This window comes from Homo sapiens, chromosome 2 (assembly GCF_000001405.40).
Source record: "Homo sapiens chromosome 2, GRCh38.p14 Primary Assembly".
Lineage (NCBI taxonomy): Eukaryota > Metazoa > Chordata > Mammalia > Primates > Hominidae > Homo > Homo sapiens.
In genome coordinates, this window is record NC_000002.12 from 23,662,229 (window position 1) to 23,677,095 (window position 14,867).

At 55.0% G+C, this 14,867-nt stretch overlaps 1 protein-coding gene across 3 annotated transcripts in view, besides 4 other annotated features; it reads left to right on the forward strand.

The window, feature by feature from the left end:
- Window positions 1-14,867, forward strand: part of KLHL29 (kelch like family member 29) — a 323,428-nt gene that overhangs the window by 277,050 nt on the left and 31,511 nt on the right. The window lies entirely within an intron of this gene.
- Window positions 6,186-6,803: an enhancer, noted in NCBI's record as "H3K4me1 hESC enhancer chr2:23891284-23891901 (GRCh37/hg19 assembly coordinates)". NCBI's record gives its function as "activates a minimal SCP1, AML or CMV promoter by ChIP-STARR-seq in naive H9 embryonic stem cells {active_cell/tissue: H9 hESC(naive)}" and the evidence as "EXISTENCE:reporter gene assay evidence [ECO:0000049][PMID:30033119]".
- Window positions 6,804-7,420: an enhancer, noted in NCBI's record as "H3K4me1 hESC enhancer chr2:23891902-23892518 (GRCh37/hg19 assembly coordinates)". NCBI's record gives its function as "activates a minimal SCP1, AML or CMV promoter by ChIP-STARR-seq in naive H9 embryonic stem cells {active_cell/tissue: H9 hESC(naive)}" and the evidence as "EXISTENCE:reporter gene assay evidence [ECO:0000049][PMID:30033119]".
- Window positions 9,699-10,198: an enhancer, noted in NCBI's record as "H3K4me1 hESC enhancer chr2:23894797-23895296 (GRCh37/hg19 assembly coordinates)". NCBI's record gives its function as "activates a minimal SCP1, AML or CMV promoter by ChIP-STARR-seq in primed H9 embryonic stem cells {active_cell/tissue: H9 hESC(primed)}" and the evidence as "EXISTENCE:reporter gene assay evidence [ECO:0000049][PMID:30033119]".
- Window positions 12,158-12,358: a silencer, noted in NCBI's record as "peak3617 fragment used in MPRA reporter construct". NCBI's record gives its function as "represses an SCP1 promoter by STARR-seq MPRAs in K562 erythroleukemia cells {active_cell/tissue: K562}" and the evidence as "EXISTENCE:reporter gene assay evidence [ECO:0000049][PMID:32103011]".

Genomic DNA, 14,867 nt, shown 5'->3' on the forward strand with positions numbered 1-14,867 from the left:
AACTTCATCTCAGTTTTTCTGCCCTCTCACATCGTCTCGTCTAGATATTTTTGTAGGATTTAACCCTACTGTCTTACTATCGCCCACCAACCATAGGAAATTCCCTTTTTGATGGATCTTTGCTCTGTGCAGGGCCACGTCGTGTTCTGAGCAGTGATCAAGTGTTCCTCTTTCTCCTGGAGGCATTTGTTGTTTGTTGATCAATAGATGGTGGGGGCTTTGGCCAAGATAAGCCTTTGGCCATGCGAGGCCTTGACAGTTTCTAGGACTGCAGCTTCTGCTCTCTGGCGGTTGAGTTCACCAGCCCCTCCTGGGGTTCCAGCCCCTCCTGGTGGGCGCTTCTGGCCTTCCCTCCCTCCCCAAAGGCAAGAGGCCCCCTTACCACCTGAGGAGAGAGCCCTGCCCGGCCCCCACTTCCAGATCCCCCTGGGTTTTGCCTTGGCTCCTCCAAGGGGTCTGCCCCTCCCAGGGGTCCCACCCAGCTCACCTCCCGAGCCACCTCTCCCCAGCCTGGGCCCACCTACAGACTGTCTATGGTGCTCCTTGGACTTGGGCTTTACCTTCCCAGGGAACCCCTAAATCTTCCTGGGCCCCGAGCCTGACTGCCTGGGGAAGGGTGAGCAGGAAGCAATGAAACACAGCGGTGGGTTGAAAGCCGTAAATGCAAGGCTTTGAATTAAGCAGAACCGGATTCAAATCTCCACTCTGCCACTCACTCGCTGTGTGGCCTGGGACCAGTGACTCTCTGCGCCTCATTTTCCTGGCCTGTACAATGGGGGCAATCTGTCATAGAGCTGCCCTGAGGATTCCAAGAGTGGATCTCATCAGCGGTCTCCGAGAGGGTGGCAGGTGGGAGGAGGCGTTTCAAAGTGCTGGGCTTCCCCTACCGCGCCCTGCTCCTCGCTGCTCCTCGCTACTCCCAGCCCCCAAACCCCGCAGCTGAGGACGAATGCTATGGAGTGAGATAGATGGTTGCAGGCACGAGGCGGGTGTCATGAAAGCGCCCCTTTGGCCCAGTAGCAAGCAACCCAGAAGTGTGCTTATCTTGAGTTTATTGGGGTTTCCAGGTAGGGGTCCCCTCCTCGCCTGCCTTACGCCCCAGCCCTAGAGCCCTTGGGTCCCCGCGGGCTGGGGCGGGGTTGCCTGTGCCCGGCAGGAGAAGGAGGTGGTGACGCGTCCACTCGGGCCGCCCCGCGGCTCCGCCGTCACGTGTGCCGGGGAGGGGACCACCGGGAGGTTCCCGGGCCCGCGGAGGTGGCGCGTCTGCGAGCGCCTATTTGCATATGCGTACCCTGGATATTTATAACTTCTCTTCAGCCAGTTCCAAGTTATTGATGTCTTAAAGTGACTTTAATCTGAGCCTTCTTTTCTCCAAATGGGCTTTTGATTTCCGGAGTGATATTATACATGGCTGTAAGCTATTGACTGAGCGATTGCCGTTGTGTTCTCAATGTGCTGATGCTGAAAATCTGCGATATAAATAAACTTCCTCTGGTAGAATCATTATAAAGCACAAGCAGCAGAAATTTATGGAAAGAACAGATTAAATGCTTAGACTTAAATTCTTCAGTGTGCTGGTTGCCCTAAACTGCTGTGTCTGGAGTTTGGGCTGCTGATTCAGGTGGAAAAAATCAAACGGACACATCGCTTGTCGGTGCATTTTTACTATGATCTATTGTGTTGCCAAAAGAGAAAGCTCAAAAGCTGCCATTGATAATCCTGGTTAAAACTTGGAACATAAATTATTAAGACGTGTAGTTTCTTTTCCGAGTGGTTGGGGACTGGGGCGCCTGGCACACTACAGAAATATAACATCAATATGCGCTTATGCATTGTAATGCGGGACATTTTTATGCCCATAATAAAACATTGCGCCTACAACTATGTTTATGAAAGCAACAGATAGGAAGATCCGTAATGCCACTTAATAGAGTTAATCACCTCCCATCGGAACGTTTTAAAAAGCTTTTTATTGCATGTTGAAAAGCCCTGACCATGATTAATACACTGCACACTGTCAGGTGCCAATCAGATGGCTCAAGGCAGCAAAGGGAACTTTCCAGCACACTGGGGCAGGGAGGGTTCTTGGGACTCTGTCCAGGTGTCTCAGTGCCAGGATTTTAGGTCGACATTAGCCTCTGGTTGAACTATGTCAAACATTGGGCTCTGGCTGGGGCTTTGGGTTCTAAATTTTAAGCTCTGAGCTGTGGATGTAAATTCTGAGTTTGTTCCTGTCTCTGGATTCTGGGCTTTGGACTGGCCTGGGGTCTCAACTCTAGATCCTGGGTGACCCTGAGCAAGATCACCGCACAGAACATGTTTACCCAGGGCCAGGAGGCGGGGATAGATGTTTCCTAACAGTCTTGGGTTTGTTTGCCATCAGTTTGATGAGTCCAGTTGACCATAAACCTGTATCCAGTGGGCCCTCCCTGCACCTCTCCCCTTCCAGCCAGTTTTCCACAAAGAGGAGGGCAGCACCCACGGCTGTGCCCAGGGCTGGCATGTGGGTGAGGGCCAGTCCTTCAAGACAGCAGCCTGCCATGGGACAGACCCCAGACTCATTGGCAGGGCCAACCACCAACCAGCCAGGAGGCTCCGGGGCCAATCACTCCCCTTCCCCTCCAAAGGAGATGCTTTATCTCCTTTGTCCCTTTTCCCACAACCACAGAGTGACGGGAGCCATAGGGAATCTCCCAAACAGCCTAGAAAAGCTGAGGAGGTGAAGGGCCAGCCTGAGGTAATTAAAGAATAAAATTGCCCTTTAAAAGTGCACAGAGATAGTGCTCTCCACGGCCTGGGCCTCTCTCACGTGCCTGGGTGGTGACTCGGGTGGCTGGTGGCTGAGCTAGAGCCGCTGGTACTCAGATGGAGAATGTTCTGAGTGTGAGAGCTCTTTTTCTTCCTGAAAAGTTGGACCAACAAGAACTAGGAGTGAGGACAGTGAGGCCAGCCTGTGTATCCTGACACCACATGGCAGATTTCTCTCCACTGGACTGGAATCCACCTTGTGTTACAGCTTGAAGGGCTGGATTGCCACCAGGGGCGCAGGGCTTGGAGGGATGTGTTGTCTCCAGGGGCCCAGAGATTTCTATGCTTGAAAAGTTGCTGTCACAGGCCTTTGGTGAGACAGAATCATACCTGAACTGACTTCTGGTGCCCAATGGGACACTAGTCATTCAAATTCCATCATGGCCTGAAGGGTTTGACACCCCTCTGCCATCTCCCTACCACCAGTACCCCTGCCAAAAGTGAGACCCATGCTTAAATGAGCTTACCTTTTCAACTAGGGAACTGTCCTGGTCCATTTTGCATTGCTCTAAAGGAAGACCTAAGGCTGGGTAATTTATAAAGAAAAGAGGTTGATTTGGCTCACGGTTCTGCAGGCTGTACGGGAAGCATGGCACCAGCATCTGCTTCTTTGGAGGCCTCAGGCAGCTTCCACTCATGGTGGAGAGCAGAGGGGAGCAGGCATCACAAGGTGAGGGCAGACAGAAGAGAGAGGGAAGGGGCACCATGCTTCTTTAAACAACCAGGCCTAGCATGAGCTAATAGACGGAGAGGCCTCTCATGACCGTGAGAGCTGCACCAAGCTATTCACCAGGGGTCCGCACCCATAACCCAGACACCTCCCACCAGGCCCCACCGCCAACACATTTCCACATGAGATTTGGAGGGGACAAATATCCAAACCATATCAAGAACCTTTTCCAAATATGAGCTGTATGCTGGGTCCATGGGGGACACTGTCCATTCTTGCCCTCTTAGAGATGAGTACCTTGGTGGGACAGGCCCACACCTCACCCCAAGTTGTAAAGTCACAAGGACAACTGGAGAAAATATTGAGGCATAGGTGTTGTGGAGGAAAAACTCATTCTATGCATCAGTCAACAAAAATGTACTGAGCACCTACCCTGCACAACAAACCAAACTCCCTGCCCTCAGGGGGCTCATATTTGAGCTCCCCAAAGCCTCCCAAATGATGACGGCATCCACATCCCAGATGCAGCAACTAGAGAAATCACAAGTTGCGTGTGCCTTTTCCAAGGCCGCCTAAGACAAGCTGAGCGAGGATCCCCAAAACCAGGGCAGGGGTCTCGGGTGGATCTTCAGAGCCACATCCCAACCCCCTTGCCAAGCTCCCTCCACCCCAGGCAGCAACTAGGGCAGTGTGCCCAGCCTCGGCTTGGGGAGGACACTATAGTGTGCGGTGACCTGTGGGAAGAGAGCAGTTCCTCTCAGTCTTTCTCGGGGACCAAGGCCAAAAGCCAGCAGGTTGCAGAAGTTGCTTATCCTGGAGGCAACAAAGCAAGGGTGCCTTGAAGTTATGGAGACCATGACTGTTCCGCAAAGCCCGGCAGAAGGGGTTGCAAATGAGGGCTGGATATGCAAGGAGAGTCCATTGAGGAAATGTGCATGGGGCACTCACCTCTGATCGTGACTGAGCGAGTTTCCTTCTGAAGTCCAGTGCCTCCTGCTTTATGAAAGTGAGCTGTAGGGTGTGGTCAGGCAGACAGCACATGTGGAGCACCCAAGATCAAGTGCTCAGCCACAGGCTGGCCCACCCAGACTGGCACAGAGGTAAAGGCAGCCCGACCCTCTGTGGTCACAGCTGTCCTCCCAGCAGCTATAAGGCACCTGGCAGTTGCCAGGGCCCTTCTCTCTGTGCCCAGCCCTGGTGGCCTTGGAGTGCCTACTGGGCAGTTGCTCCCAATCCCTCCCTGGCCAGTGGCCTTGAGAGAGCCCTGAGTCCTGAGTGAGTAGGGGAGGGGGCTGTGGTGGGCAGAGTCAGGCTCAGTGAGGTTCCCTGGGGGACTTCTGGGATGAGTTTGCTAATAGAGATGTCTGTTCTGGGAGGTCGTGATACCACCTGTCATTAACCCGGGCACTCTGCCCGGGGTTCTCACCAAGAATTCATAGGTGGCTGCTTGCAGGCGGGTGAGTGATTTGCAAGGACCACAAGAATATTTGCATAAACATATGTATGGAAGTGTGTATTTATTTGCATTCATTTGCATAAATTGCTGGCTCTTTGAGCTGTCGTTCCTTAATTTTATTTTTTTCAGTAAATTTCTTTGCGCTCTGAGCACAGATCCGGACACTTTGGGAGTGAGAACAAAAAGGCAAAAACATACTCTTGAATCAGAAACTTGTGGGGTGAAGCCTGAGCCTCAGTATGTTTTTAAAGCCTCCAGGTGAGCCCAGTACACAGGCCAGGAACCAATGTGAGACAGGACAGGCCTATGGCAGATGTCAGATCAGATCAGCCTCCCTCCTCTGGGCAGGTCACCTCACTGCACCTCTCCCAAAACTCAAAAGCAATGAGGACTGTGAAGTGCCAGTGCCAGCGCCAGCACGTGGTGATCACCCAGCAAGTGCTCACCAGGCCCTGCTCAGCGTCACCACCACTGCACGGTGCCATCCTGTGTAGACCCGGCTGCTCCTCCTGGCCCTGCCACCCAGGGCCCTGGACTCCACCCCTAGGACCCTGAGTTCATGGATAGTGCGTGCTCCACCCTGGGGCCCGGGGTCTGTTCTATCTGAGGCACACGGTCATTTCTCCTTCGAGGTGACTTCCAGGTTGACAGTTCCATCACTGCCCAGATGCCTGGGAAATGTATGCTTGTGATCGGGAGACCACCCAGCCCCGCCGTCCTCCCTCTGTTCCTCTTTCCAGGCCAGGAGCGGGCCAGGCACTGAGGCTTGCAGGCTTTTGCTTTCCCTGGTAGGCGCTGCCGAGGGAAGAAGAACACTGGATTTCTGGAAATGCCTAAAGCACTTCAGTTCAGTTGTTGCCACGGTCCTGCCCCTCTCTGCGTTATTTTTTTCTCCTCCTCCCTGTTTGACGTCTTCCCTCCATCGTCCCGCACCCAGCTGGCCCAACTGTAGCATCCCTGGTCACTCTGTGCTTCCCTACCTTGAGTCTCTGCTTGTGGATAGCCCTTCCTGCATGGCTGGTGGCTCAAACCCTGTCCATTCAAGACCCAGCTCAGTGCCGTCTATCCCACAGCATCTTCTCCAAGCCAGCACCTGTTTCCCTCAATCACTCATTCAGACCTTACCTGAAACCTACCTGAGGCCAGAAGCTATGCCAGGCACTGGGGTGCAGAGACTAGTCAGATGCAGGCTCTGCTTTTGAGAGCTTTCCTGAGGAGTGAGAGCTTTTCGGAGTGGGGAGCAAGTCCATGACTGCCCCCACCCCAGCACCTACCTTTGCACCCCTGTCGAACAGGTGCACCACATTGGAGGATGCTGCTCAGAGCAATGTTGCAGACCTTGCTAACGGGAGACAGAACAGTCATACCTCGGCCTGCAGAAGTCCAGGGAGGAGGGAAGTGGTTTCAGAAGTTCCAGGGGCAGAGGGGAACAGATAGGAGCTGAGGGGGCAGCTTCTGGTGGCAGCCGAGGTGGCCAAGCCCACTCCTCTCCTGGATCCACCTTTGCCGGGACAGGCGGGGTTCTTCCTGGAACCTCAGGGAGCCCCAGAGCTTGGTTTGCAGACCCTCCTGATCCCCCAGGCCAGCCAGGCCTGGCTGCAGCCCCCACTCACCCAGACCCTCAGAGGTGCATGGTCCCCACTGCTGCTCCATCAAGGCCCCGCAGGGCCACCCTCAGTCCCTTCCCCTCACCTCCACCCTCCAGAGGCAGCACCCACCCCGAGAGGGAGCCAGCCTGGGCCTCCACAGCAGAGTGTGGGAGCCCAGAGAGCCCGGAAGTGGCACAGCAGGGGCAGCGTTATTCATCACCGAGGCTGAGCTGAGCAGGAAGGCTGTGGCCCATGGTGGGCCGAGCAGCACCTTCCTCATCCCTGGGCCGGGGGCTGTGGAGTCTAGGAGGACCTGGTCCTGTGTGACCACAGGGGACCGCAGACTCAGCTGATGACGACCCCCACGCGGCCAGGCTTCAGCATCTCAGTGCCCCCAGGCCAGGAAGGCGTCTCTCTTCCCATTTGGTCAGGGTCATTCACTCAGCCAGCAGACACCTCTCTGCCCCTGCTGGGTGCTCAGTGCTGGGAGTCCCTGTCCATGAGCCACCCCTGGTCCAGAGAGAAGTAAACAGACTCAGCAGAGTGCTGAGCCAAGTGTGATGGGACCACAGAGTGGCAGCTGATCTTACCGAATGGGTAGATGTTTTCTGAACGAGGGCGAAGGAATTCCCTGGCAGAGGGAATAGCCTAGGTGCCACCCTCCTCTTCCAGGCTCCCACGCAGCCTCCGTTTCCCTTCCACACAGTCCTGCCCCACAGAGTAGATAACTGTACATGCAGAGAAGACTCCCTAGGGCAGAAAGCCAGATTGTTGCATCACTTCTGCCCCCTGCACAGGGCCCGGCACACAGTGGGGGCTCCCTGAGTGCTGGGTACCCCGTGAGCAGCACCCGTGGCCCGTGCTGGACACAGCCTGTTGGGGAGACTGGTCCTTCTCAGCGTTTGTGTTCACGTAGGGGATGGTCCCCCCTCTGTGTGGCTGCCCTGCCACCCCCAGTCAGCCTCTGAGCACAGTGGCCGGTGCCCAGCTCATTTAGAGCTGAGGCCCCCAGAACCCAGGGCTGCAGCCGAGTACACAGGCCTGGCCCCGCCAGCGCAGGACAGCAACTCTTGGGTAACTGTGTCCATTGGATTTGTAAAAACAGGGCCGTGGTATTATCACAGAATCTGGTAGGTTCTGCTTCCAAGAAAAACAGACTGTCAAGTTAAATACATGTGGGTAGGGACCCAAGCAGAGAGGGGTGTCAGTAAAGCCAGAAGCTCAGCTGAAATGGTAGGGACCCATGAAAAGTCCCATGCAGGGAGAATTGAGCCAGAAGGCCCCAGAGCATGGGCCGTGTGCCCAGTTAGGCCTCTCCTTCCTGCATCTGGGTTCTCAGGCGTGTAGATCGTCACGTGGAGCCCAGTGAGTGCCAGAGGCTGCACAGGGCTCTGGGAATATCGGGGGAGGGAAAGGCGGCGGCTCCACCTACCTGAGCTCGCGGGCTAACTGGAAGACAGGATTCAGCAGGCAAAGATCACACACCCAGGAGGAGGGATTGGCCTGGGACGCAGGGAGACCAGGCACAACCTGGGGGTTGGGAGGACGGGGGTGTCAGTACAGCCCACCTGTTGGTCCTTTCTGGGACCTCATGAGACCAGGCCGGGTGCCTCCTCACAAGCTGGGGCACGACTGGACTCGCCGACCGGTGTGATGGGCAGGGGGGTGTGCTGGGCACCGTGCCTGCTACACAGGGGCACCGAAGCAGTGTTCCACCCTTGGCAGGATGAGGGGCTGACTCCCAACTGTTGCATGGTCCCCCCAACCCCCAGGCCTGACATAGGCCTCCTAAGGCAGACCTGACTCCCTGACTCTGTGCCAGGGCCTGCGGCGGGGGGCTGATCACCTGGAGGGCACAATTCCACTTTTCTTCTTTCATGCCTATTAAGATTTTCTAATATTCCTCTAATGATGTGGAGATTAATTGTATAATTTTAAAAGATCGTTAGAAATATGAAAAACTAGAAATGACTCTTGGGCTTTTACCTCCCCTGAAATGGCAGGAGGCAGACATGTTGCCCTAAACTGACCCGGGCCAGGTTGGGCAGGAGGGGTGGGCCCAGAGAACCAGGGGCAGACCTGGTTCTTCCAGGGTCTTCCTCCTGGAAGACCATGAAGGGCACAGAGTGGGCAGAGAAGGGAGGGGTCTCTACACACATGCACGCGCTCTCTCTCTCTCTCTCTCTCTCTCTCTCTCTCTCTCTCTCTCTCTCTCTCTCTCTCTCTCTCCCTCCCTCCCTCCCTCCCTCCCCCCCCCCACCTCCTCCCTTCCCTCCTAACCTCACATCCTCCCAGCTGTGACTCCTCCCTGGATGGGATTCGCAGTGTTCTGAGCTGTCATTAGCTCCTGGCATCTGGGGTTTCCATTTCATTTCCCTCTTTACCTAGGTAACTAAACTGATTGTACTCCTGGCTCTGGTTCACTAATTCTTGCAAATCCTTTAAAACTATTTATTTATTTGCTGGAACTGTGGCTCTCAGAATTCTTGGGAAGTAATGGCTTTTACTGGAGCAGGAGGAGGAGACTCGTGTTCTCCCATCTCCTTGTGGCTCTCTGCTGCCTGCCCCATGCCCAGTTCTCTCTGCGTCTCTTTCCACTCCTTCTCTGAGCCGGCCCGTCACCTGCTGCAGGTGGCTGACTTTCCCAAAGCCGTAGCTGACCAGATCTTGGAAAGATTAGGTCTCCAGGAAGAACACAACAAAGCGAGGTTTCATGAGCACATAGGAATTTAGGCTTTGGGTTTGCATCTGTGGCTGTTGGGCTCCTCATCCCTTATGGAGGAATACCATTTCCTCGTCCAGGTGCCTGTGACCCTTCTATTTCCAAAGCACACCGTTCCTGTGGGTCTGCAGCTTTGGAAGCAGAAGCCCTGAGGCTGCTCACTCGGCCTTTTCCCAGCCAGCCCCTCCCTACACCCCACAACAGCTGTCCACCCAGCTCCCTAGGACCCCCAGTGGAGGCCAGCCAGCCGGGGCCTCCGAATGGAAAGAGAGTAGGAGGTGGTCTCATGAGTAGATGCAGAGCCAGCCACTTCTGGAACCTAGGGCTGCCCACTGGCTGGGGATGGAGGGCAGCGGGCTCCCAGGGGAGACTGCGCCCATGTAGGACGCCAGGGGGACTGTCTCTGTGACGGGCCTGGCTGCACTGCCTCCATTCCTGCCCCAATTCCCAGCCTCATTCCCCAACCTCCAATACATACCTTTCTGCTTCGCTGACAGAGCTGGGTCCTGTGGTTGGCATCCCAGGCCCTGACTGGGACAGACACATGGATATGTCAGGCCTATGATAAATGCGACTTATGGCAGAGCCTGCCCAGGCCCTGGGGGAGCATAGCTTTGCAAGTTCATCACGGCCACCATGGCCATCACTGTCTTTGCATTCCTTCCTGGAACTTTGAAGTCCAGGGCCAGAGCACCCAACCGGCCAAGTCCAGGCCTCATGGCCACACACCAGCTACCAGGGAGCTACCTCCCCTGGGCCCCCACAGTGACATGGCCCAGATCCCCCCATCTTGGGATTGTCCCCAGTAGGAAGGGGTTCCAGTGCTGAGCAGCCAAACTCACCTCCGTCCACTCCAGTGGCTCCTTCCCCATCAGACTTGAGCTCCTTGGGGACAGAAAGTGGTTTCCTCTTCATGGTCCAGGCCTGGCATGAAGGAGGCCTGTAAATATGCACCGAGGTGCTGAGCTAGTCGATTCAGAGTGACATGCCCCCCTCATATGTGTCTGGTTCTCCACTGGAGACAGCCAGCAGTCGCTCCACAGCCCTGCACTTCCTGGCCCCACTCCCGGCCCCTCAGCCCTGGCCACCCACCCCTCCTTCCTCATAAGGCCTCTAGCACCACAGCTGACCATCCCTGCAGCTCTCTCATCCAGCTCCTCACTGTGGGCACCTATGTCCACACTGAGCTGCGTGCTCCCCTGGGACAGGAGCTGTCTTGCTCACCTCTTGCCCCCGCCTCTGCAGCTCTCACCTCACCCCAGCTCCAGGTGTCGGCCCGGTGTCCTGTGCCTTGTGGGCACCTGATGATATGCTTTGGGTGCTTGCCTACGGCCTGGGAAATTCAGACGAGGGGTCAGAAAGGGCTGGAATGGCAGGGGGCAGCCCAGAAGAAGGGAGCTCATGATGGTGTGAGAAAGAAAGCCCCAAGCCAGGGGAGCATGGGGAGGTGGGCCCGTGCGTGCAGGGTCAGGCCACTCGCGGCTGCTTTCCAGCAACCTTTTCAGTGTCAGAGACAAAGCTGATGCTCTCAGCCTCCCTCATGAAATCCACCAGTGGCCTCCAGCCTGCTAGGGGAAAAAGATGATGGGTTGGTTTGCTTGTTTCACTGTCAGATACAGGTTTGCCTTGATCTGCAGCTTTTCCCTCTGCTTCTCACATGCCAGGCCTCATGCTCACACACACATACACAAGGGCACAGACACGCACCCATGCCACATGCTGTCTCACACACACATCTACACAGACACAGGCACAGACACACACCCACACCACGTGCTCACATGCACTATACACAAGAGGACACACTCCCACACCACGTGCTCACATGCACTGTACACAAGAGGACACACATACACCCATCCTCACACTTGCATACACACAGACACATACACAGGGTGCATGCACACGTCCACACCACGTGCTTGCATGTACATACACATACAGGCACGTACACACCCCCACACCACATGCTGTCTCTCTCACACATACACACATGGGCACATTCACAGGGATGCATACACGCCCCCACACCACATGCTTCCATACACATATGCATACATGAGGGCACATACACACGCCCATGCCACATGCTCACACACATACATGGGCACATACACAGGGGTGCATACACACCCATACCACCTCCTCTCACACACACACATACACACACACCCCTACACAGACACATACACAGGGGTGCATACACACACCCATGCCACATCCTCTCTCTCACACACACACACCCCTACACAGGCACATACACAGGGGTGCATGCACACACCCACACAACATGCTCTCACACTCACATACACATACATTAGCACACAGGGGTGCATACACACGCCCTCCATGTTTGCACACACCATATGTTCACACCCACACCCTTGTACCCACCACATGCTCAAACACACACGTAGATACACATGCATGCACACACACTCACAACCATGTGTGCACACAGCACATGCCAGCCACACCAGTGACCTTCAGTCCCTAACATGGCCCTCTCACACCTCAGCCTGTGTTCACATCTCACCCCTGCAGCCAGCTGGGGCGCTCCTGCTCACCTTTTGAGTCTTCCCTTGACTCCGTCAGGAAGAACCAGCCATCCCCTCCTCGGTGCCACCTCTGCCCAGCACTTGCCCCGGTCAGACTCCTCTCACAGGGCATTCCAAGTACACAAACGCTCTGTGAGTGTGTCTCCCTTTAAACTGTGAGCTCCCCAGCTCTGCACACGTGCCGATTTCCATGTGACCCCAACACCCGCCCCTCCCCCCGCCAGTACCTGGCACACAGGAAACAGCAGTTTAATGAATAAACAAAGGGGCCAAACAGACACAAGCCATCTGAGGTTCCCAGAACTTGGGGTCTGAGTCTGCCTCTGAAGGAGGATGTCAGGGCCCCAGCCTCATTCAGCGGTGGACATGGTCAGCTGCTCCAGGGCACCCTCGAACCCCTATAGAGCTCCCCTGGCATTCTGCCCTGACCCCAGGGCACTCAGAGCTCTCCAAGGTGCTGAACTTGTCTCTTGCCTCTGGCCCCAACTATCTATCCTGGCTTCTTCAATCCCTCCAGCCAAGAACCACCCCATCTTCCAAGAGCCTACCTCCAGTGGAAAAGCAGCAGCACCTCTGAATAAATAACACTGTAGACAAAACACAGTTCTTCCACATGAAGACATGGAGGGCTATGAGCACAGGAGGAGGAGTGAGACCCACCCACCCTCACCCCCACCCCAGACATTGGATTCAGTTCAGTTTCTGGGGCCAGACTCGAGTCTCTCTTCTGGCCCTGAGGACCAAGGCACCTCAGGACACCCCACTCCCTGGTAACAAGTTCTAACCCCTGGTGGGGCCAACTACCTCATAAAAGGACGGTAGGGCCACCCTGCCCCTAAATGCCTCCCCCTCTGTCTGCTCCCATCTGCCTTGGCCCTCACCTGGCCCTCCCCCAGCCCACCTTCAGGCTTCCAGTCCCCACAGAGCTCTTCCAGGTCCTGCCTTGACTCCCCTGGATGTTTAATTCCCCACACAAAGTCCTCTCCACCTCTGGCTCTGGCCACTCCAGAGCTCTTCACACCACTGGCCTTGACCCTGTTTCTCACCCAAGTCTCCCAAGCCCTGGCCTTCTCCCAAGGTCTCTCGGCCCTGCCCGCACCCCATGACATGTTCTTCCTCTCCCGCTCGGAATATTCCCATCACCCCTCGGCCTCCATCCTCCAAGCAGGGGAAGGAGCCAAGTAGCAACCTTTTTGCTGGAGGCAGGAGGGACTACGTGCTGCTAGTGTCAACCAAACCAGGCACTTACTCCAGCTGCAGCCATGGAATTTGCCCATGGCCTTCCCTGCTCAGCCCAGGACCCACCCCCACCTCTGCAATGCCCACCCTCTGGCCAGGTTCCTTGGGCTGGGATGGGGTCCTGACACTCTGCCCCCTGTCCTCCTCCGTTCCTTCCTAAACAAGAGACTGTACCCCTTGACTCCTACTCTGAGCCCACAAGGCATGAACTGTCCATGAAAATGATCTGTTCTTGGTTTTTGTTTGGGTAGATCTTATGATCCGGGCAGCTGGGACCCAAAGCTTGGAGAGAACCCTGTTCTGCAGAGCGACCTCAAGGGCTCCAGGCTGCACCTGTGTTTGGTGGCTGCTGGGGTGGTCACTTCTTCCCAGGAAGGCCATTTAAGGCTCTTCAAAGCCATTGGAGCTGAACAGAATAATTAAATCTCTCCCCAAGGAGGACCTAAATAATTAATGTGCCAATGCTTTAGCAACTGTAGATTGCATACGAAGCGCAGGGTTATCGCCGTTATTAGCACCAGTGTTGCCTGAAGTTAGAGGGGCTTGACTTTTACATTCTGTCCATCCGATTCCACACAACTGTGGTATTTCAAATAGTTCCAGTGGATCACATTTGGGGGAATGTGATCTAACCCCCTAGCACGCATCTGCATGTGGTCTGTAACCCACAATGAATTCCAATCAGAAGGGAACTTTTTGTGCAAAACATGGCGCCAGGTGCTCAGGAGGCCAGAGAGAAAAGCCCTCCAGAAGATCACAAATTAGAAAGGAGACAGACAGACAGACATTCCTCTGTAATAAGGCAGCCAAGGGTCTCTACTCCAATAGAGGTACCAAGTCTCATGGGACCACAGGAGAGAGTGAAGTTAATGGCAACTGAGGGAATCTGTAAGAATTTTTGGAGGATGGGTTTTTTGTTTTTTTTTTTTTTGAGACAGAGTCTGCTCTGTCGCCTGGGCTGGAGTGCAGTGGCGCGATCTCAGCTCACTGCAAGCTCCGCTTCCCGGGTTCACACCATTCTCCTGCCTCCGCCTCCTGAGTAGCTGGGACTACAGGCGTCTGCTACCATGCCCGGCTAATTTTTTCTATTTTTAGTAAAGACGGGGTTTCACCGTGTTAGCCAGGATGGTCTTGATCTCCTGACCTCGTGATCTGCCCGCCTCAGCCTCCCAAAGTGCTGGGATTACAGGAGTGAGCCACCGCACCTGGCCGAGGATGGGATTTTAAGTGAGGCTTACAGCCAGCCATGGTGGCTCACACCTGTAATCCCAATGCTTTGAGAAGCCAAGCCAGGAGAATCACTTGAGGTCAGGAGTTTGAGATCAGCCTGAGCAACATGGCGAGACCCTGTCTCTACAAAATAATAACAATAATAGGGTGAGGCTTAAGGAATGGATGGGACCCTAGGAAGCAAGTGTAGGAGAAACCCTGGCCAAAGGCAGAAAGAGAAACATTCAAAGTGAAGGAACAGGATGAACTGCCTGTGAACTTAGAGAGTTGGGGGATGCGTGGAACATGATAGAATATGAAGCTGTGAGCACAGGTCAGGTCAGGTCATAGAAGCCTGCAGGAGCCCATGGTAAGGAGTTTGGAAATAAGGGATCAAGGCAGCCCTTGGTCTGGTGGACCCTAGGTGAAGAAAGAGCCCCCACTCAAGGTCACAGGAAGATTGAGGTGAATCTGTGACTAGATCTAGGTCTCCCAGTCGCACTACCCACGGCCCAAGCTGGCAGCCACCTCTGTTCAATCCTTGGACCTAAGGGACAGGGGCACAAACCCAGGGAAAGAGAAGGGAATATTTCTGTTAATTTTATGATGATTTCAA